This window comes from Homo sapiens, chromosome 2 (genome assembly GCF_000001405.40).
Source record: "Homo sapiens chromosome 2, GRCh38.p14 Primary Assembly".
In the NCBI taxonomy this organism is placed as follows: Eukaryota; Metazoa; Chordata; class Mammalia; order Primates; family Hominidae; genus Homo; species Homo sapiens.
Window position 1 is genome coordinate 127,290,901 of NC_000002.12, and position 23,265 is coordinate 127,314,165.

At 40.1% G+C, this 23,265-nt stretch overlaps 2 protein-coding genes across 11 annotated transcripts in view; both read right to left on the reverse strand.

Annotated features, from left to right (window-relative positions):
- ERCC3 (ERCC excision repair 3, TFIIH core complex helicase subunit) overlaps nucleotides 1–3,244 on the reverse strand; it is a 36,855-nt gene extending 33,611 nt beyond the window's left edge. For 2 of the 5 annotated variants that reach the window (NM_000122.2, XM_011510794.3), the window contains exons 1-3: nucleotides 3,154–3,244; nucleotides 2,613–2,818; nucleotides 1,710–1,946 (exon numbers count right to left, since the gene is read on the reverse strand). In NM_000122.2, coding sequence (NP_000113.1) covers nucleotides 1,710–1,946; nucleotides 2,613–2,818; nucleotides 3,154–3,181 — 471 coding nt within the window. In that variant the 5' untranslated portion in view covers nucleotides 3,182–3,244. Of the gene's footprint in view, nucleotides 1–1,709; nucleotides 1,947–2,612; nucleotides 2,819–2,894 lie in introns of those variants that run through there. The other 3 variants (NM_001303416.2, NM_001303418.2, XM_011510795.2) reach the window with 3 other exon arrangements.
- Nucleotides 7,768–23,265, reverse strand: part of MAP3K2 (mitogen-activated protein kinase kinase kinase 2) — an 89,798-nt gene continuing 74,300 nt past the window's right edge. For all 6 annotated transcript variants that reach the window (NM_001371911.1, NM_001371910.2, XM_047442990.1 and 3 more), the window contains 2 exons: nucleotides 17,685–17,862; nucleotides 7,768–16,904 (listed from right to left, as the gene is read on the reverse strand). In NM_001371911.1, coding sequence (NP_001358840.1) covers nucleotides 16,679–16,904; nucleotides 17,685–17,862 — 404 coding nt within the window. In that variant the 3' untranslated portion in view covers nucleotides 7,768–16,678. The remainder of the gene's footprint in view (nucleotides 16,905–17,684; nucleotides 17,863–23,265) is intronic.

Sequence of the window (23,265 nt, forward strand, 5' to 3'; positions counted from 1 at the left end):
GTGAAACCCCATCTCTACTAAAAATATAAAAATTAGCCGGGCATGGTGACGGGCGCCTATAATCCCAGCTACTTGGGAGGCTGAGGCAGGAGAACTGCTTGAGCCTGGGAGGTAGAGGTTGCAGTGAGCCAAGATCATGCCACTGCTATCCAGCCTGGGCGACAGAGCAAGACTCCGTCTCAAAAAAAAAGAAAAAAAAAATTTGCCAGTCAGACTTTGAGGGGCTGCCTATCCCCGCTGTTGTCCCTGATCCACCACTACAGTGCACCAACACCTACATCCCTGCAGGCAATTCGCAGCCAAGACCAGGCAGAGCCACAGTGTTGGTACAAGGTCCTCTCCTTGGGCACGCTTTCTTTTTTGTTGTTGTTCTGAGGCGGAGTCTCACTCTGTTGCCCAGGCTGGAGTGCAATGAATGGTGAGATCTCAGCTCACTTCAACCTCTGCCGCCCGGGTTCAAGTGATTGTCCTGCCTCAGCCTCCTGAGTAGCTGGGATTACAGGCACCCACCACCATGCCTGGCGAATTTTTGTATTTTTAGTAGAGACAGGAATTTCGCCATGTTGGCCAGGCTGGTCTTGAACTCCTGACCCCAGGTGGTCCACCCACCTCAGCCACCCAAAGTGCTGGGATTACAGGAGTGAGCCACTGCACCTGGCCGGGCACGCTTTCACATCACAGGAAAAGAGAGTTCTCTCCAGGACTCCTGCAGCTTCTCTGGGACTGGCTGCAGTACCATACTGAATTCCTGTGGCACTCTTCTGCCACTCCAGATCCCAAGGTCTGAATCTGACTCCTTTTGGATCAGCCAAAGGCAATGAAAGCCACTGTCCATCTCTTTTAAATGGCATTCACCCATCTCGCAGAAGAAACCTAGCATGTTCAACTATTAATCACATGGAACCCTCTTTGTTTTGTCAAAAACATCTGAAGTTGTTTTTGACTTTCCCTCATGGAACTTGTTGACTATTGGTCTCCTGCAGATACTTAGCTTTAGACAGAGTTTACCACCTGTGTTAGTCAGCTTGGGCTGCCATAATAAAATTCCAGACTGGGTGGCTTCAACATTAGAACTGTATTTTCTCAGAGCTGTGGAGGCTGAAAGTCTATGATCAAGGTATCAGCCGATTCAGTTTCTGGTGAAGGCTCTTGTCTATGGACCACCTTCCCATTGTGTACTCACATGACAAGAAGGGCAGGTGAGAGAAAGCATGCTCCGGTGTCTCTTCTTAGGAGGACACTAATCATAGCGGATCACGACCTCATTTAGTCTTAACTACTTTCTTACTCCAAATACATTACCATTGGATATTAGGTTTTGAAGACAAAATTTGAGGGGAACACACACAATTCAGTCCCCAGCACACTCACTTTGGGCTGCATTTCCAAATTCTCCCTGGCTACAATGGGCCTGAATTAGTAGCCCCTCTGTGTTAATACCCACAGCTGGGAGCGGCTCATGAGAAGCGTGGCCTCACCCAGAACACAATGCTGGATCCAGAGTGTAGCGGCTCATGAGAAGCATGGCCTCACCCAGAACACAATGCTGGATCCAGAGTGTAGCGGCTGGGGTAATCAGTCGTTATGCTCCCCACAGGAAATCTGAATGGCACATTCTCATGGCTGCCACAGGCTGACAACATGGAGCACCTATGCCTATTGTTACATTAGCAGGGCAGGTGGAATTGCTGGTCTCAGCTGTCACTTGCCTTAATAAACTGCATAATTCCATCAGGGACTCCAGTCTTGCTGAGCTTCCTGAGGTACTCGGTGATGTCACTGGTTTGCAGCCCAACGCTGACAGCTGCATACAAGGAGTAGGCAGTTAGTTTGTACTCATGCACATGGGTTGGTCGGCACACTGGCTCTGCAATAGCCACCAAGAAGTCTTGGGCATATTTGTAAACTGGAGAGAAGGCTTCCAAGAAGATATGGCCATCGGGAGCCTGAGAGATACCAAATGGACAAAACAGACAAGGAAACATGAGTTGCAGAGACTACTGGGCTCTTGCCCATATCATTATCAAGAAAGAATAAGCTGCCCAACACCACAGATATTCTTGCAAGCACTCCTTCAGACAACTGTGGGGCCTGTTACATTAATCAGATACAGAAGAGTAAAGAAAAATAGAAGAAAGTGTTTCCAAAGTCAACAGCTGTTTCCTACTATTCTGCACAGAGAAAGCCCATCTTACTGGCTATCCTCAAGTTACCTTTTGGCTAGATTTCAACTAAATGTATAACATTAATTATTTAAAGTAGAGCAAAAGCTTGCTACCGAACATGTCTTCCATTATTTGAGGAAACAAACTGTTACATGATAAATGCTATTTATTCGGCAGATAAAAGGATTCACTACATGGGGTAGGGCTGGGGAAGGAGTGAGAGTAAACCGAGGGGTTAGAGCTGTTGGAAGCCCAGGTCCGGCCGCCACACGTGTGCGCAACTGCTCGCTGTTGCCTTGGGCTGTTCCAACGTGTGTGGATGAAAATTCTCTCCCGGCCAGTTCTAGGGGCAGTATCCTGAATGTCAGTTTTGACTCTGAGGATGCCCAAGATTTAGCTGCCGCTCCGCACACTCCTGGGCCCTGCCCAAGCTAAGGGCATGCTTACCACCCAGAGGGGCCTGGAGGTGTGGTCGTCCTTCAGCGGCATTTGCAGCCTGTAGTCCTTGGCTCCATATTCATCCACTTTGGTGCCTGACTCATCCACCTGCTTCCCCGCCGCCGAGGGAACCGCTTCCTGAGGGTCGTTCCCCGGGGCGTCCTCTTCATCATCCTCTTCATCCTCATAGTGCCGCTTCCTGGATTTCTTCTTGTCTGCAAGATACCAACACAGAAGTAAGCCCAGCAGGAGCCTTCAGGGTTCCCTCCGCACCGCTTGGCAGCATTTCACCTGCGCCGCCGCAAACTCCTAGCTAAGAGCCACCTGCATCCCGCAGGCGTTGCGCCCCTCACCCGTCTCCCCTAGGCCGAGTTCGCTGGGCTGCGCCCAGGTCCAGCATCTCTCCCGCCCAAAGGCCTGTCCCAACGGGGTGCGCGCGGGAGGGCCAGCAGGGTCGGCCGGCGCAGAGGCCCGGAGCAGCTCCGAGGCAGAGCGGGGGGCAGGGCCGGCAAGGGCAGTCGTGGCTGAGCGTGCCCGCGCAACGTCTCACCGCGGTCCGCTCGGTCTCTTTTGCCCATGGCAGCTACAGCAGCAGAGAGAAGATGACCCCGCTCCCACAGGCCCGCCGCGGCATCCGCTCTGGGGGGACTTCCGGCTCAATCCGGAAGCTCCCTGTTGTCCACACAGGATGTCCCGCCTCTAGGCGCCGTGATGTGGGTGGCTGGAAGAGCGGAGAGCCAGCGACCGCCGATCTGTTAGCTCGTGCGACCCAGCGGCGGGGGTCCTCCACTGTTCATTTCTCTACAACTGAAGGAAAATACTGTGTGTTGAGCACCTGTGTAGTGCGCGAATTAAAGGCCTCATCCTTCTGGAACTTAAATTTTAATGAAGCCATGTGGGCAATAAATGTGTGTGTGAGAGAGAGAGAGAGAGAATGTGACCTGAGTCCATGGGTAAGGAAGAATTCTTTTTTTTAATTAAAAAAAATTTGGCTGAGCACGGTGGCTCACGCCTGTAATTCCAGCACTTTGGGAGGCTGAGGTGGGTGGATCACTTGAGGTCAGGAGTTCGAGGCCAGCCTGGCCAACATGGTGAAACCCCATCTCTGCGAAAAATACAAAAAAAAGTAGCCAGGCATGGTGGCACACGCCTGTAGTCTAAGCTACTTGGGAGGCTGAGATGGGAGAATCTCTTGAACCCAGAAGGTAAAGGCTGCACTGAGCTGAGATTGCACCACTGCACTACAGCCTGGGCGACAGGCCGAGAGTTCGTCTCAAAAAAAATTTTTTTCTTTTTTTTTTTTTTTTTTTTGAGACGGAGTCTCGCCCTGTCGCCCAGGCTGGAATGCAGTGGCGCGATTTCAGCTCACTGCAAGCTCCGCCTCCCGGGTTCATGCCATTCTCATGTCTCAGCCTAAATAAAGCAGATTACCCTCAATAATGCGGGTGGGCCTCATCCAAATCAGTTGAAGGCCTTAAGAGCAAAGACAGGTTTCTCAAGGAAAAAGGAATTCTGCCTCCAGACTGCAACACAGAAAGTTCTGACTGAGTTTCCAGCCTTTGGACTCAAAACTACAACATCAACTCGTACCTGAATTCCCAACTTGCCAACCCCCACAATTGCATGAGCCAATTCTTTAAAATCAATCAATCAATCTCGCTTGCTCAGTGGGCCTCTTGGTTCTGTTTCTCTGGAGAACGTAACACAGATTTTTGGTACGGGGAATAGGGTACTGCTGTAACAAATACCTAACAATGGGGAAGTGGTTTTCAAATTGGGTAATCGGTAGAGGCTGAAAGAATTTTGAGGCGCATGATAGAAAAGCCTCTATTGTCTTGAAGAGCCTTGGTAGAAGTATGGGCATTAAAGGTGATTCTGGTGACGGCTCAGATGGAAAGGAGAAATATGTTATTGAAACTGGAGGCAAGTGGTAGAGAGCTTGCCTGAATTGTATTCTGTTGGGTGGAAAGTAGAACTTATAAGTGATAAGCTTGGACATTTTGCTGAGGAAATTTCTACATGATGGTTCAAAGTGAGGCCTGGGCCAGGCGCGGTGGCTCACGCCTGTAATCCCAGCACTTTGGGAGGCCGAGGCAGGGGATCATAAGGTCAGGAGTTCAATACCAGCCTGGCCAATATGGTGAATCCCCGTCTCTACTAAAAATACAAAAATTAGCTGGGCGTGGTGTCGCGCGCCTGTAGTCTCAGCTGCTCAGGAGGCTGAGGCAGGAGGATCTCTTGAACTCAGGAGGCAGAAGTTGCAGTGAGCAGAGATCACGCCACTGCACTCCAGCCTGGGCAACAGAGCAAGACTCCGTCTCAAAAAAAAAAAAAAAAAAAACTGAGGCCTGCTTTCTCCTTATTGCTTATAGTGAAATGTGAGAAGAGATACACTGAAGGTGGAATTATTCAACAAAAAGGAACCAGAACTTGAAGATTTGGATCATTCTTATACTCACATTGTAAAAAAAAAAAAAAAAAAAAAAAAAAAAAAAAAAAAGAGAGAGAGAAAGTATGCTCTGGAGAAACACTAAGGATGTGGACAACCATTTATTTGCAAGAGATTAGGTGTGTGGCTTATAGACCCAATCACCCATCTCCACAGAAACCTGGACAGTTTTGACTAGGGTACATAGATGGGATGAAATGAAGGAAGGCTGTTGGACTCCCAGGATTCCACAGGTAGGAAAGGGATTGGCAGGGGCAGTTCAGAGGCCAGTGAGGCTGCTTCCGCCACCACAGGACTGAAAGGGACAGGCTTGGGTTTGAACCCACGGCCACCACCTCCTCAGTTCTGAGGGTGCGGGGCTGCAACCCCAGTGGGCCCTGAGGACAGAGGATCAAGCCAGTGAGGATTATTCTCAAGCCTTAAAATCCTGTCATTGGCCCTGTTAGGTGTCAGACTTTCTTGGCACCTCCAAGTCTTTTTCCTTCCCATTTCTCCCTTTTGGAATGGAATGTGTCTATCCTCTGCCTATACCATTGTAATTGGAAGCAGATAACTTGTCTGTTCTCATGGGTTCATAGATAGAAAGAAAATTTGCTCCAACAGGAAACCTAACCCAGAGTCAATTGATGTGGATGATTTGGGTGATGAGATTTGAACTGATATTTAGATGATACTGGACTTTGAGTTGATGCTAGAATGACTGACTTTTGTTGATGTTGAGATGGGGTGAATGTACTTTGCATGTGGGAAGGATATGAACTTGTAGGGGCCAGAGGACAGACTATGGGTTGAATTGTGTCCCCCACCCCTCAAAAAGTTATTTTTTTTGAGACGGGGTCTTGCTGTTGCCGAGACTGGAGTGCAGTGGTGCGATCTGGGCTCACTGCAGCCTCAACCTCCTGGGCTCAAGTGATCCTCCCTCCTCAGCCTCCCAAGTAGCTGAGATTACAGGCATGCCACCATGCCTGGCTTTTTGTATTTTTTTGTACAGACGGGGTTTCACCATGTTGCCCAGGCTGGTCTTGAACTGCTGGACTTAAGTTGTCCATCGCCTTGGCCCCCCAAGTGCTGGGATTACAGGCATGAGCCACTGTGCCTGACCCAAAAAGATATTTTGAAGTCCTAACCCCTACTACCTCAGAGTATGGCCTTATTTGGAAACAGGGTCTTTATAGAGGTAATCAAGTTAAAATTAGGTCATTAGGGTGGGCCTAATCCAGTAACTGGTCTCCTTATAAAAAGGGGAGCACACACACTTGTGTCAATAGACACACAAAAAGCACCACGTGCTGATGGAAGCAGAGATCGGATTTATGCTGCCACAAACCAAGGGATGCTATCAGAAGTTGGAAGAGGCAGCTGGACACAACGCCATGGAGCACATGTAGTCCCAGCTACTTGGGAGGCTGAGGTGGGAGCCCAGAAGTATGAGGCCAACCTGGGCAACATAGTGAGACCCAATTTCTAATATATAAAAATAAGTTGGAAGAGGCAAGGAAAGATTCCCTTATGGGTGTCAGAAGGAGCATGGTCCTGCCCACACCTTGATTTCTGACTTCTAGCCTCCGTAACTGTGAGACAATAAATTTTTTATTATAAGCCACCTAATGTGTGGTACTTTGTTACAATAGCCCCTATTGTTGGACATTTAGAGTTTTAAGTTTGGGCTTTTATAGATACAACTTAAAACATTCACAATCTATTTCCACAGGTTAATTCCTAGGTATAAATTGGTGGGTCAGAGGATATACAAGGTTCTGAAATTTAAGACAGGGTCTCGTTCTGTCATGAAGACTGCAGTGCAGTGGTGCAATCTCAGCTCACTGCAACCTCTGTCTCCCAGGCTGAAGCGACCCACCCACCTCAGCCTCCTGGGTAGCTGGGACCACAGGCATGCACCACCACACGTGGCTGATTTTTGTATTATTTGTAGAAACAGGGTTTTACCATGTTGCCCAGGCTGGTCTCAAACTCCTGAGTTCAAGTGGTCCACCCACCTCGGCCTCCCAAAGTGCTGGGATCACCATGCCCGGCCAATTCTGAGGTTTCTGATTCTGATTCTGAGGTTTCAATTCTGAGGTTGTGTTAAGTTGCCCTCTATACCAAAGTATTAAATTATCTCCGCCAGGCGCAGTGGCTCACGCCTGTAATCCCAGCACTTTGGGAGGCCGAGGCGGATGGATCACGAGGTCAGGAGATCAAGACCATCCTGGCTAATATGGTGAAACCCTGTCTCCACTAAAAATACAAATAAAATTAGCTGGGCATGGTGGCAGGTGCCTGTAGTCCCAGCTACTCAGGATACCGAGGCAGGAGAATGGCCTGAACGCGGGAGGCAGAGCTTGCAGTGAGCCGAGATCATGCCACTGCACTCCAGCCTGGGCGACAGAGCAAGACTCTGTCTCAAAATAAATAAATAAATAAATAAATAATCTCCAGCACCATGTGAGAGACCATTCCTTATACTCAGTAGGTTTGATAGTAGGGTTTGTGTTTGTTTTTAATCATTAGTTCTGATTTAGGTAATCAAGATGTCCAGCCAAAGATATACTACAAGTTGGGTGGAACATTATAGACTTAGATACTGGAAAGATTTGGTTTAGTTTCATTGTTTTTAGATTTGTCTGCGCTTGGTTTCCTAGAGAGTGCTCAACTCAAGCAAGGAGGGAATAACTGTAAATAAAATGTGTCCAAGAATAGATTTGGAAAAACCAATCACAGTGGAAATAAATATTAGCTTTATTAACACTCAAAGTGCCATTCATTTATATTCATTCCATAGTCCAGAAGGTTACTTATTAGAGTAAGCCTTTGCACCACAATCTTTCAAAAAAATGAACATGTAAGAAAAAGCAGTTTTCATTGTGCTAATTATTGCAGGCCTTCATGCACGTAAACCTCAACAAAATGTGTGCCAACAATATACAAATTTCCATATAAACAAAGTCATTGATCACTAACAAAATATAAACATGGTTTCTTTTATATTAGATTTTTTTTTAAAAAAAAGCTATTTACCAGCAAGAAAAAACAAGTACCTAGAAATTATAAAACTCAGAAATTGTATACATTTTTACAAGCACAATTTTGAATGACAAACAAAATCAAAATGTGCATGAAATGTTGCACGTACCACACTGTATCTGGCTTCTGGTAGGTTTTCCTAATCACACTGGTTCCTTTTAACATAATAAGCTTAGTGACATTCAACTTCAACAGTGGACTTTATTCCTAACACGAGTAATTTTACATGGTACCGCATATTTAAAACAAAGTTTTCTTTAATACTACATTGTCTGATTGGAAATTTCATTTCCAATTCTTTTTCTGCCAGTTACTTAAAACACACAGTACAATATAAAGACACACAACGTATGTTTGGACATTTCAAAACCAATTTATAGTCAATTACAAAGAATCACAATATGCCAATATATTGTTTTATAAACCCAGTCTGACCTTGCCCAGTGATAGAAAAACTAAAAGTTGAAATCTTTTGGGGTGGAATACAGGAAATATTCAAAGACAACAGTAGGACAGGCCAATAGCAACTGGAGATAGAAAAATCTTGACATCTCGAGACAATTTAGTTTCTCACATTTTTCCATAGCTCTGAGAATTCAAAGGCCATTTTTAGCGGTGTGTTTTTGCTACTGCTTAAAACCTATTTTTCCCTTAATTTGCATTTCACGGAATTCTCAAAGAGAATTTAATGCTTTTTCTTGCAAGAGTATTTTAATTGAGCTCTAAGTATGACTTGCATTCAATTCTGAAAATACAAATACATTTTGAATGGCTAAAAACAAAATTTTAAAAATACTTTTGATCAGCCAGCTGAAAATATATTCATATAGTAAATAATCTCTCAGAAAGCTTTTATATATATTTAATTATCACAACTAAACAGTACCCTTATAAAACAAGTTCATAAAAATGTAGAAATGAAATGAAAATAAGAACTTACTGGGATATATACATGTGCCTACAGACAGAAAAAAACATCTCCACACAAACATACATCCCCTGATACACAGTTAAAAGCATACTTTCAACTTAGTAATGGATTTTATAATACATTATAAAATTTTCTAATTTCTATTAATGTCGAACTCCTGAGTTCTTCAACAAAGAACCATAGATAAGTATAGTTTGTAAAAGCAAAAAGGTCCATTTAAGTCAGTAATAGCAGTGCAGTAACTGATGGCTACATCTTGAAAGAAGTTAAAACATAAAGACACAGACAGTAGTTCAATGCACGCATTCATGATGCTCATACACTCATCAACAATTATTGGTCAGAGTAGTAAATCAGTGTACAAATTAAACATTTCCAAAAATGTGCAAAAATGTCAATCTTAATAGGAAAAAAACCCTTTGTACATAATTATAAACTGCCCAGCATTCAACTGAGATTAAAAACATTTAGAGAGAAACCAATAGGTTAAATATAGAGAATTTAATGGCTACATTTAAAAATGTACATTATTATGTCAAAGGGTAAATTTACAAATTGATAATCATAGTTTGCAACAATTCAAAGTTTATTCTCAAATTTATCCAAGTTTACTTTTATTTACAATGAATAAAAAGAACCATGTGAAATGTAAGAGATGTCAGACATTAAAAGTATTTTTGGTATTAACTCTTATAATATTTCAGAATTCAGGGTAGCAAATTTTAAAACCAATAACAATAGAAAAAATGTAAACCATTTACTAATTAAGATTGCATTAAAACAATTGTTGGTCTTTAAAGAAGTATTCTTATCCTTAGACACTGTACTTTCAATTGAATAGGGTGTATTGCAAGAATTTGGCCCACTTCATATTGCCCATAAGCCTCTCCAGCTCAAATGTTTCAACTAGTCCTCTCTTCTTATTCCAGGTGGAAAAAATTCTTTGGAAAAGTAAGAATACATCAAATCCATTTTGTAGTCTATCTAATAGAGTTTAAGGTGTAATTTTGTTTCTTCTCCCCTCCAAGTAAAGCTAATGCTAAAATCATCACTAGTTACATATGCTTTTAAAAAATAAATTCTAAAAAAATATTTAAAAAGAAGTGAACTTAAAAGTGCTTTTCGGTATGGTCATGAACTTTACTGTTCTCAACTGCATTAAGGGATTCTCAACTGCATTAAGGGATTCAGAAATTATTTGGGGACAAGTCCTGTACATATAGTAGAAGCAGATACTTCCTTATGTTCCAAAATGTCTATGGCACAAAGCAGACATCAGTCCAGAACCTACTTTTCCTCACAGCTTTGCTGAAATGCCCCTCAAGTCAAACATAAGTTCATAAATGTTAAGACACTAGGAAGAAAGTTCGCCATCAACCTGAGGCATCAGACGTTAATGTCTGTCTATGTGAATCAGTGGTCAAGTGACATTAACAAGATTGGCACATGTACAAGCTTAAATTCATGTCTACATAGTTCCTCAATAGTGGAAGTAACTTCTGGATGTCTAAATGCACTGATCACCTGTCCTTTTCCTTGAAGGATATACCAGAATACAAATTCTACTAGTATCTGCTTTATAATTTTTATACTATTAGCTTACAAGTGGACAGAAGTAACAGTGCTAATTATTTTGGCTATGTGTACAGGGAATATAAAAGCTTTGGTTTAAAGTGATTCTGATAATACAGATTGTGTTACAAACAAGAAGTCATCAGGCAGAAGGAACAATGGTACTGATTTAATGCCTTTGCTGTTATTAACAAAAATACCATATGACTATCAATTAAAATGCACAATTATGAAAAATAAGAATTCTATGAGACTGTATACAGGCAACAGATAAAATCTATTCTTTTCTTTACTGTAGCTATGACTCCTCCCTCATCTTTCTGAAGCTCAACCTTGAATGCTTACAGGACCACTGAAAAAAGAATCTCTAGGCTCCCCCAAGAGCTCATTTCCATCAACAGCTCTGGAAGGTGAGTATGGGAAGATGGGAGGCCCTGATACTTCCCACACCTACCATGGCATCCTGTCCAAACCATGGCAGAAGTCAAAGCCAAGCCAAAGACAACTATAAGTAGGAATAGCTGCTTCACAGCATGCTTCCCCTAGCCAACCAAAAAGAGGTACAAGAGAATTTCCTTGTGAATACTTGGTAAGCTAAGGAAGCTTATTTTGATAATGTTTGGCAGAATTTCAGTTCCAAAAAGTTCAGGAAGAACTATGTAAAATCAATTACTTTCTATTTAAGAATTATATATAAGATTATTTTACATATACACAAATTGAATTTTAATCTACCTTTAGCAACCAAGAGTATGGCAATTTACAATCAATATTATTATACAATCATTTGTACTAGCTACTTCTGGAAAATGTACTGGTGTTCCTACCCAAGGATGACTACACTCACTGTATGTCATCAGTAGGTCATACATTTGAGTTGTTCTTCCAAAACCAGAAACTGACCTAATTGAACACTCATACCTTTCCCCTTCTTCCTTCCCATCCCTGCCTCCAACTCTAACCACACACACACACACACACACATGCATGCAAACGCACACATACATGCACACATGCACACACTTCACAGAAAAGTAACTTTTCTGTGAGTATTACCCAAAATGTTAGCTGAGAATTAAGGACTAGAATCTGCTATCCCTGGATTTCCTACTCACTGTCCTATCTCATTGCCTTAACATTTGTAAACCATGTGAATGACTTCTTTAGGGCAAAAACAAGTATTGTAACTCTACCATGAAAATCATAACTGAACTATAATATGCCAAGAACTTGGACAGTGCCAATGTGATTGAAAATCAAATATTCAACCCAGAAAACATTTACATGTCTCTTTAGAACGAGAATACCTCTTTCTATGCTTGTGTTGGGAATTCATGTCTAGTGGAAGCTGCAGCATGTCTATCACAGACAAATCCTAATGTTTCTCTCCTAACATTTATTTATTTATTTATTTATTTTTTTAAAAAGGAGGTAGAAAAGGGTAGGAGGAGGCAGGCATTAAGAAACATTTAAGGACCAATACACAGTCTAAGGCCAAATGAACTTGTGAAGCCTACTGATTTTGGAAAAAATCTTCATTTTGGTGGGTAACTTGAATTATTAATATAAAATAAAATTAAGGCATACAGAGAAAAGGCACTACTAAAAATTAACAATTGGATTGCTTTTCATTAACATTTAACCAATCTTAAAATTCAAATAAATATGAACATTACATTTGTAAAACAAAGGCCAAACTTAGTAATAAAACAGTATGATCTCAAGGAACTGTCCTGATCTTAGTATAAATAACACTGTTGACAGAGTTCAATTTCTATCAAATGTTTTGGGTATTTTCACAATTTAGACCAAAATAAAGTATGTTTTCTTTAAAAGAGACACTGGGGAAAAAAAAAAAAAAGAACAAAAAAACACTGTTATGGAATAAATGCTCCCCATCACCAGAACTGTTGAGTAGAGGCTGGGTTTTGCAGTAAGAGGGGGTCCTGAGAGAGATGCTATGTGACCTGGTTGGGGAGGGGATCCCTCTAGTTTGGAGATACTTTTACTCTAATCCCTGTTGTCAGTGACATTTCCGTTTATAACAGCCAATGATTACCTAAAATTGCTTTTCCCTTAATAAAAAATAACATTTTAAAACATCATTGCTGAACTTTCAGAGTTAGCGTATGCCATAAAATAAGTAACTGTTTGCCCATGTTCCTCCTAGATTGTGACCTCCTTAAGGATGTTAATTTAGTACCTGACATAATAAGTTACAATTATTGAACAAACAAAGAAGATTCATTCTATTAAAAAAGATAGATTTGTATATTTAATTGACACCAGGTGATTTTATATCAAGCTATCAGTTCCCAGACTCCAAATAAAATCACTGGCACAGAACTTTGCCATAGGCCAAGGAGTCTGCATCTGGCTTGGTCATCCTGCTAAACTATTCACATCTGATTTTATTTTCTAAGTGATTTCACATATCTTATAACAACTCCATGTCAGAAATACTACAGAGCAGATCTGACATATATATGAGCTGGAGTAGCAGAGACTTAGTCTAAAGAAATAGTTTCATCTTTTTAATGCAGTTTCTTTGGGAATAAGGTAAAGACTCTCTCAAGTGAAAGCCAATCCAATTCACTCTGAAATCAAGGTTTAAAATTTTCTTTTACAGTTCAGCAAATGCATTAATATTTTAATTCCTTATATATGTTATGTAAGGGTAACTGTGCCTTTTAAAACTTTCTAAGGCAATAGTCATTTTTTTAAGTTAGAAAGATGTTTTGTAAACAAGGAAAAGTGCTGAAAATTTTCAAGATATTCATACTGAAATTTTCAGTCTGTATACTTTCAAATACATTTTAAATAATTAACAACCCATCAAAATTTCCACTAGTCATTATGATTTTTTTAACCCTTTTATTCAATACAACATTTTGTTTGCAATGTAAAAGATCTTATATTTGGTCCAAGCCTAAGTCATGCCACTTTGAATCTCTCAAGGCCTTAAGTAGAAAGATATTTCCTGAAAAGCACATATAAGACTGCTAGTGAATCTTCTCCAGCACCAAAAAGTCTGCCACTGTCAAAGCAGAATGCATTTTAAAGGCACAAAGTCAGCAGTCTGACCATTTTCCAGCGTCAGCAAAGAAGCATTACAGTATAGAAGAATCAATTGTGCATTTAAGAAACAAAACACATTTAGAGTTATCTTAAAAAGTTCAAATTGCATTTGTTGATCCATATCATTATTAGAAAGAAGAAAAAAACGGAGTGTTATATTTAACTTCCCCTGATAAAGCTGTTTCCTTTCAAAAATTTCTTTTTTAAATTTACTTTTGGTCTTCCATACCCTCCACCCCCACACCTTCAAGCTTTTTTGTTCTAGTAGTTTTTATATATATTAACTTTTATTGTGGTTTTTGGTACCTTCACAACTTGTTTGAAATAAATTCACATCGTATTTTATATAATAACTCTGTAAACTATTAGTCTATTTTTAAGTCTTTACATAAAGAACATTACTTTCCCATAGCTAATAATATTTTTCTTATAAAGCAAAGGCCTTCCACAGCAGTGTTAAAGTAGTAGTTTCTTTTCAGGTGCCTTTATTTTCTATAGCATTTAGAAAAGAAAACAGAGACTGAAAAAAAAACAGTTTTGCTCTGGGTTCTACAGTCTCACCAGATTTCTCTCTAAAGAGCATTTGTCTCATATTGTGCACTGCTGGTTACCCTGACAGACCAAAAACGAGCCAAAGGAAAAGCACAACTACACAAGACAGATATGAAGGAAAAGCCCACTGGTCAAGGACCATGATCTTGCTCAAGTAGAAAAGATGCCCTCATTCATAAAAGATAAAGAAATTATAATAGATCCACACACTTGGGGATTCTTTCTAGAACAAAATTTGGCAGTTGCTTTACCAAGGCAGGGACACCTCATTCTTGTTCTTCCCTGCAAACTGCTTCAATTTTAAGAATATGAGAGAAGCGTTGACAATTAATTTTGTGCTTTGACTTCTTAGACTAGCTAGTGGAATTTCAAATATTCCTACAGGGAATGCTAGGTAGGACCTTGGCACAGTAAACCAAGATCTACCTAACTTCAGAAACAAAGTATCGTAAAAGAGTCCCTAAATAAGCACACCTTTTGGCAGAAAATAAGAATACCTGAGTCCCTTATGAATCCCATGAAAGGGATTCTGGGGCCTCCAGGAAGACTGTTGTTTTCTAGACCTTTAAAATAAAGTACTAAATAAAGTACTAATAAAGTACTTAGCACTTGCTTTAACATGCTGAAAAAAACTGCAAGTGGCCAAATTGCTGATATCTTCATGTTTTATAGTAGCACAATTCTATTAGAGATAGTGGGGCCTTTCCCAGCTGTCTTGTTCCATTTAACAATGTCCTTGCTCTTATTGGATACATTGTACTAGAAATACGTGGCAGCTTTTTAACCTTCCCATTAGTAGTTAAAATTTTGTTTTGATATGCTTTTTTTTTTTTTTTTGCCCAAAATCATGAATTTTAAGGAAAGAATATATAGAGATGGCTGAGTTCAAAAGGCTCAGTGTTCAAATTCAGTTTGTTCCTAAAATGAAGAGTTACCTATGTGGGTGCAATATGCAGCTGGTAAAGTGATTGCTATTTGCTGTTTGTTGAGATTATTCACCCTTGACTTAAAGCAGCAGTATCTGATCTTGTAAAATCCTCAATTTGCATTACATCACTTTCTCTTTGCGACTTCCTTTTCTTTCTTGCATTTACTGCTTTGTAAATAGCTGTTTTCAGTTTATAACTGGGACTGATCTTTACATCAGGGTTTCTCAGCCTCAGCACTTCTGACATTTTGGGAGGGGTAATTCTTTGAGGCTGCTTTCCTTGTGTATTATAATCTATTTAGCAACATCCCTGGCCTCTACCCAATTCATGTTACTAGTATCCCTCCAATTGTGACAACCGGAAATGTCTCTAAGAATTGCCAAATGCCTAGTGAAATCATCCTCGCTCCACTTTTGGCAACCACTGTTTCACATGATACCTGTTTTTTTGAGGTGCTTTAGTATTCTGTGATCCTAAGAACAAGGGTTTCATCTCCTGACATAACACATAAACATTACTAATTGAACTCTTCGCTCCTAAGGGATGTTACCTATGGGGAATCAGGAGCTGGAAATAGAAGATGGTATACATGATTTTGATTATTTCTCCATTCCTTTAATTTTGGGACGTCCCCCTCAAGTAAAACAAAACAAAACTGTTTAAAATACACTAAACACCTAATTTTTTTTCATTATTTCTATTGACTGTAAATGTGGTCTCTTCTACTGCTCACACATTTGATAAGAGTGATGTCCTTTTGTCTTTTATTTCTATTTGCTCACAACTTGACTTTAAAATAAAGGTTTTCCGTGTGTGTGTGTGTGTGTGTGTGTGTGTTTTTAAGCAGAAAGCTATCCCTCAAGGTTTACAGATTCCAGTAACGTGGATCTATTATAGTGTATTTGCTTATTATACTGGTTAGGATTAACAAATAAACATACCTCTCAGAGATTCATATCTTCTATCAAGACTCCTACTGAGCAAAAAGGTTGGTAGACAGAGGTTAGGATCTAAAGAATACAGATATAAGAAGAAACCTATATTCTTTAAGTTGAGTACCTACCCTAAACTAAAGTTTAGGGCTCAACCCCACAAATGAGGATATATTTTAAATACTATCACTAAAAACTACAAATTATACATCATTTTCTTCTCCTTGTTTTCCATGTCTTCCCATCGTCACTGATGTGTCAGTGATAGAGGGAATGACTCTACAATCTTTAGGTATTCCAAATGATTTGTTTGTACTAAAAAGAGTGACTATGTACTAAAGTGCTTTATCTCTCTGAACCACATCAGTACATTATAAAAATTAAAAAAAAAAACTTCAAGTTCTTGTAAGGGAAAAAAAGATTAAATATAAAAAATTTAGGATATTATTATTATTAAACAAATTTAACCAAGAATCAAGAGAAATACTTTCCCTCTTGTCTTTTTTCTCCCCCATCTCTCTTTTTTTATAAAAAAGAAAAGTGCAGTCAGAGAGAAGGTGAATGAATAGATGGGAGCTAGGTAGAGGCACAGGAGAGGTTACTGGCTGCTAGTGATAATGCACAAACATGTGCCTTAAGAGTTCATCAGCTGAAGGTCTCAGTTTGGCCTCTACAAAAATCCGTTTGAGGAAATCTCGAGTATAGTCTGAGACATGAGGTGGCAGCTTTGGGTTTGTTGGCTGAGTGGCGATTTTAAAGATGGCAGCCATTGCTTCAAATTCAGCCCAAGGCGGCTTTTCAGTTAGCATTTCTACCACAGTACATGCAACACTCCTGAAAAGAAACAAAAAGAAATACATTACACAAACAACAACATGAAAGAAAGCTAGTTAGCTAGAAAATGAGAAACAGGCATTAAGTCCATATATATTTAAATATGACTTAATTTCAAGTTCAAAGTTTCATTAAAAAGTTCTAATTTCGTAAAACTAATTTAAACATAAAAATCAATTAAAATAAATTTAATGACTATCACTTAATTCAAACGGTTGGGCAAAGAACATTATTCATCTTATTATTTTTGTTTTATATAATTTCTAACCTGATTTTAAAAATAATTTTTGTCTTTATCTTACAAAGAATATAAGCATTAGAAATCAATTGCCTTCAGGTGCCTAAAATGAATGTCTATTAAAGTCTTTTCTGGGTGGGAAGTAGAAAATGGCCATTTCATGTTCTAACTTAAAATTATAAAAGAATTAAAGATTAAATGAATTATAAGACACTGACAACAAAGATGAAGTACTTTTAAAGGTCTTTAGACAAACAAAGTAACTATTTATTTACTTCTGTAATAGCAAAAAGCTTTTTAATGCTGAGGTTTGCTCACGACAAAATCCTTCCTAAAGAATGGAGGACAGGTTCAAGGATTCTAACTATTTAGTCAATTATAAGCCTCAATAAGGCACAATTAATATAGTGTTAATCTTCGCAATTCTTACGTCCTATTTTGGAAGTACAAAAGATTATTTACATCTGCCTCAGTAATTCAATCCCAGGTGGAAATACATAGGCGGCAGGTGGTTTTCAAGCAAACTTCGTATCAAAACCTACCAGATGTCTGCTTTTCTTCCATAGCCTTCTCCACTGATGACTTCAGGGCTCATCCAGTATGGTGTGCCCGTGACAGACTTCATTCCTGTCCCTGAGAGACAGATGGTCTGAAGCCGTTTGCTGGCCCCAAAATCTCCTAGTTTGACGTTGCCTGTTGAATCTCGCAGGATATTTGCGCCTAAAAATAAGACATTGCCTCATTTCATTAATTTTATTGGCAGTCTCGAATATAGCATAAAAGAACAATGGCAGAGAATTACTTCATAGACTCTTTGATTTGTCCCCAAAGTTAGGCTGCTTTTCATCCTCTGGCAGTAGCTGGCATAATGCTAGTCACACAGGTGGTGCTCATTAAGGATTTGCTGCAAGAACACTACATTTTTAGGTCAGCTGTGTGTTTAGGACCTAGGACGTTTCTATTGAAAAGGACTGGTGCAGGTTGGAGGTGGGGGTGAAGAGGAGGAGAAAGGGGAAAAGGGCTAAGAATGAAGCTCAGTGAAGGACCAAGAAAGCCCCCAGTTTCTCTATCATAAAGCAAGAAGCCCATGGATGAAGCTTATTTCCCTGAGAAGTCAGCCTTTTCTCAGAAACTTCCTTAGGGACCTTCAGAACAAAAGCATTTTCCCCCTCTATTACTTAAATTTAGTTACCTTACATTTTAGAGTTTTCTTAATATTGAATCTTGCTTTATATTAATTTTACTTCCCAATTTCTAATATTTTAAATGTCTCATAGGCAGGCTTTGAGCTTTTCATTTAAAATTTCATTAGCTTTTATAATAAACTTTTTAGATAGCTTCAGATTTACAGAATTATTGCAAAGACAGTATAGAGAGTTCCCATATACCCCCACACCCAGCTTCTCTATTACTAATATCTTAGTATGGTACATTTGCCACAATTAATAAACCAATACTGAAATATTATTAACCAAGTTCATACTTTGCTTAGATTTCCTCAGTTTTTCCCTAATATCATTTTTCTGGATCCAGGATCCTAACCAGGATCCCACACCATATTTAGTCATCGTGTCCCCTGAGGCTCCTCTTAGGTGGGATACTTTCTCAAATTTTCCTTGTTTTTGATGACCATGACATTTCTGAGGAGTACTGGGGTCAGGTTTTTGTAGAATGCCCCTCAATTAGGATTTGTCTCATGTTCTCATAACGGGGGTTGTAAGTTTTTTGGAGGAAGACCGCAGCTAAACTGCCATTCTCATCATACGATATTAAAGGCACATAGTGTCAACATCATTGTTGATGCTGACCTTGATCACCTGGCTTAAGATAGTGTTTGTCAGGTTCTCCACTGTAAAGTCATTCTCCCCCACCCTTTCCGTACTTTGGAAGAAATTCGCCACGCACAGCCCACAATTAAGGAGTAAAGAGTTATGCTCCAGGCTGAGTAGCTACATAAATTATTTGGAGTTATGCTGCAGAAGAGATTTGTCTCCCCTCTCCCACATATTTATTAAATCATTCATTTGCATCACTATGAACATGGATATTTGTTTTATACACTGGGTTATAATCCAGTACTACTTTATTTGCCTGCTATTTATCAGTTTCAGCCACTGGAGTTCTTTCCACTGACTCTGTGTCCCTTTGCCATACCCCCATCATTGTATCCTTGGCTTTTGTTTTGGAGCACTTTCTTGCTTTCTGGCATTTGAAGATGCTCCAGGCTCATCTTGTATATTTCCTGCACCAGTGCTAGAATCAGCCATTTCTCAAGGAGGCCTGGTTCCTTTTAGTGGAGAATGGTATTAAAAAAACAAGATATTGGCCAGGTGCAGTGGCACACACCTGTACTCCTAGCACTTTGGGAGGCAAAGGTGGGTGGATCGCTTGAGCTCAGGAATTCAAGGCCAGCCTAGGCAACGTGGTGAGACACCATCTCTACAAAAAAATACAAAAAAATTAGCTGGGCATGGTAGCATGTGCCTGCAGTCCCAGCTACTTGGGGGCTGAGGCTGAAGGATCGCTTAAGCCCAGAGGGCCAAGGCTGCGGTGAACTGAGATCATGCCACTGCACTCCCGCCTGGGTGATAAAGTGAGACCCTGTCTCAAAAAAACAAAAACAAAAAACCAAGCTTGGGCACTAGGCTCACTTGTTTTTTATTCTCTATTTTCACTCTTATCATTTTAAAAACTCTATTTTTTCTGGGATTATAAATCTAGTTTCCGTCTTTTATAAATCATTTCTCTTCTCATTTTTTTCCACATAGCCCTCATTACTTTGGACCTTCTCATTTTTAACTTTTTCTTTACCTATTCTTAAATAAGCCATTTATTTTATTATCTAATTTTAAAATTTTACTTCAATTCTTATTTTTAACTCTTCCATAACCTTAACCATATTTTATATTACAAAGATTCATTTTCTTGGTTCTCTTACCCTTTTCTTAAAAAACGGTCTCTAAGAAGGAGACTGAATAGTGGAGAAAAGCTACCTTACAGACTGGAGAGGATAAAGAGACCCCACCCCTATCACGGGGCTTCTGTACCTGTCTTTCTGTTCTACCAGCAAATTCCCCAGTCTAGTCAATGATGGTTCCCTAAAGCCTCTCTCCAGAGGAGAGTCCAGGGTCCATTCTCTGCACACCTTAAGTGTAAACATGCCATGACATTAGTGATCTTCTGAAAGAGCACTGTCTAACATTTCCTACCATCCAGTACTTTAAGAAGGAATGTCAAAAAAGCCACCGTCTCTAGAATACTTAACCAGTGGAAGGACAACAAAGCCCATTTTTTACTGGCTACAAGCAGGGCTCTGATAGGGGAAGGAACAGTCCAAGGCAGGTCACAGACAGGGGAAGCTGTCTCTGGGGCGGAATCACCAATATTGAACCAATGCTTATCCACAAGAAGGGCGGAGGAGAAAACGGGTAGCCAGGCTCCAACAGAAGTTTCTAAAAACTTATTTTGGACATGTTAAAAATAAGTTATTAAGGAGACTTTTCAGACATACACAAAGGTAGAGCAGCATGCGCAGCCATCACCCAGCCTCAACATCCATCTGGACAATCCTGCCCCAGCCATACTGCCAACCACTCCCCCTCCCCTCTCTAGGATTTGAAGCAAATTCAAGATGTCATGATCAACAAATGGTTCAGTACATATCTTTCAAAGATAAGGACTCTTATCACACCCAAGAGGATGAACAATAAATTGTTAATATTATCAAATATATAGTCGGTGTTCAATTTGTTACATTAAAAAAAACTAGAATCCAAATGAAGTCCATACATTGGGAGTCACTGATAAATCTTCTAAGTCTTTCCTAAAGTTCCCTCCAATCTCCTTTTCTTTTTTCTTTGCAACTTATGAAGAAACTAAGTTGTTTGCCTATAGCTTTCTCATGGTCTAGATTTTGCTGACTGCGTCCCAAAGAATCATTTTAACATGCTCATCTGTCCTATATGTATATTACATAATTCTGTAACCGAATTTGGAGGCGTGATCAGATTCAGGTTCAATTTCTGGGGGACTGAGGAACAAAACTAGATAGATGATGCTGTATTCTAGACAGTCTCTATTTAAGTGATATCAGCAGCTATTAATGTTTAATGCAATATCTGTTCATTATTCTTTCTCCGCTTGTTAGCCAAAATACTTCTATGAAGATAAGTTTCCTTTCATCCATTAATTTCATCTTCAGTGGTCTAGTTTGTAAAACAAACGGAACAAAAACAAAGGCAGAAGAGCAACTAGTTCTTGAAATAATGAGTTGGTTCCCTAGCAATATAATCAATTAATTTTCATCCTAGGTTTCATTATGACTTCACGGGTCTAAATTGAAAACCAATCAACTATCTTCCTTTTCTCTTACGATTTAAAAGTTGCTCATGGAAATTTGAGAAATACAGAAAAAGTATATAGGAGCTTGGCAACATAGCAATACCCTATCTCTACAAAAAAAAATTTAATTAACTGGGCATGGTGGTGTGTGCCTGTAGTCTCAGCTACTCAGGAGGCTGAGGTGAAAGGACTGCTTGAGCTCAAGAGGTTGAGGCTTCAGTGAGCCATGACAGCACCACTGTACTCTAGCCTGGGTGACAGAGGGTGACCCTGACTCAAAATAAAAAAACAAACAAAGGCCGGGCACGGTAGCTCACGCCTGTAATCCCAGCGCTTTGAGAGGCCGAGGCAGGTGGATCACCTGAGGTTGCGAGTTCGAGACCAGCCTGACCAACATGGAGAAACCCCGTCTCTACTAAAAATACAAAATTAGCCGGGTGTGATGGCACATGCTGGTAGTCCCAGCTCCTAGGGAAGATGAGGCAGGAGAATCACTTGAACCCAGGGTGGGGGCGGAGGTTGTGGTGAGCCGAGATCTCCCCATTGCACTCCAGCCCTGGGCAACAAGAGTGAATCTCTCTTAAAAAAAAAAAAAATAAAAACGACCATCACTCATCCTGCCACTTGATGATAACCACCATCAATCATATGGAAATTTTCCTTCTAGGTCATACTTGAATTTTACAAACTTAAGATCATATTGCACATCCAATTTTATATTTTACATTTATTCTCTTATCAATATATTTGCCCTATGCTTTAAAATCAGCTTACTTCCAGCCTTCTCTTTTGACCAGGATGGCTCATCACTTCTGGCAAAGTTTGAAGAAGATCCACTCGGCGGGTAGCTCCCTCAGTTCCTTTGCCTTGCCTCATTATGAGGGCTAACGAGAAGCTGGCTTGAATGGACATTATTCCTAACTGAATAACTTCTCTATGAGGTTCTTCAAGCTATCAGGTTTCGTACTTAACAAGGGAGGTCTGCCTAAGATGCGTAGATCATGAGCAATGTCCCCATCTTTTCAGACTTACTCTAAGTCCCACTCTAGTACAGGTGATCTGGCTTAGGCATTCTGCATTCTACTCTATCACCAGGAACTGGTTAGGAATGTTCTTGTTGGTCTGAATATGGCCATAATTAGGACGTGCCACACCTCAAAGGGGAAGTGAAAGCCTGGGAGCTCGTAAGAGTCCCCAGCAAGACCAATGAGTAATATCTTTATACATGCAAATACAAACGTGTACACATACACATTTACAGTAATACATTGCTTAATGATGGAGATGCATTCTGAAAAATGCATTTTTAGGCAATTTTGTCATTATGCAAACATCATAGAGTGTATTTACACAAACCTAAATGGTATAGCCTACTACACACCTAGTCTATATAGTATAGCCACTGTTGTAAATGTGGTCCATAATGACGTGGAATCATCATTATGTGGCACATGACTGTTTATTTATTAACAGATGGGGTCTCGCTACATTACCCAGGCTGGACTTGAACTCCTGGGTTCAAGCGATCCTCCTGCCTCAGCCTCCCAGGTAGCTGGGACTACAGTCATGCACCATCATGCTGCTATTCATTATTTTTATTGATTGATTTATAAAGTGATGTCTAAATTTGGGGCCACAACCTACCTTTACAGGACTAAACCTCCAGGTATGTTTTGTAGTATAGATTTTGAAGCATTCTTAAATTGCACCTATCCCCACCACTTGCTTTTGTGTGACTTTATGCATTTACCTACATCCTTTATCCCTGCAAACAGCTGAGTT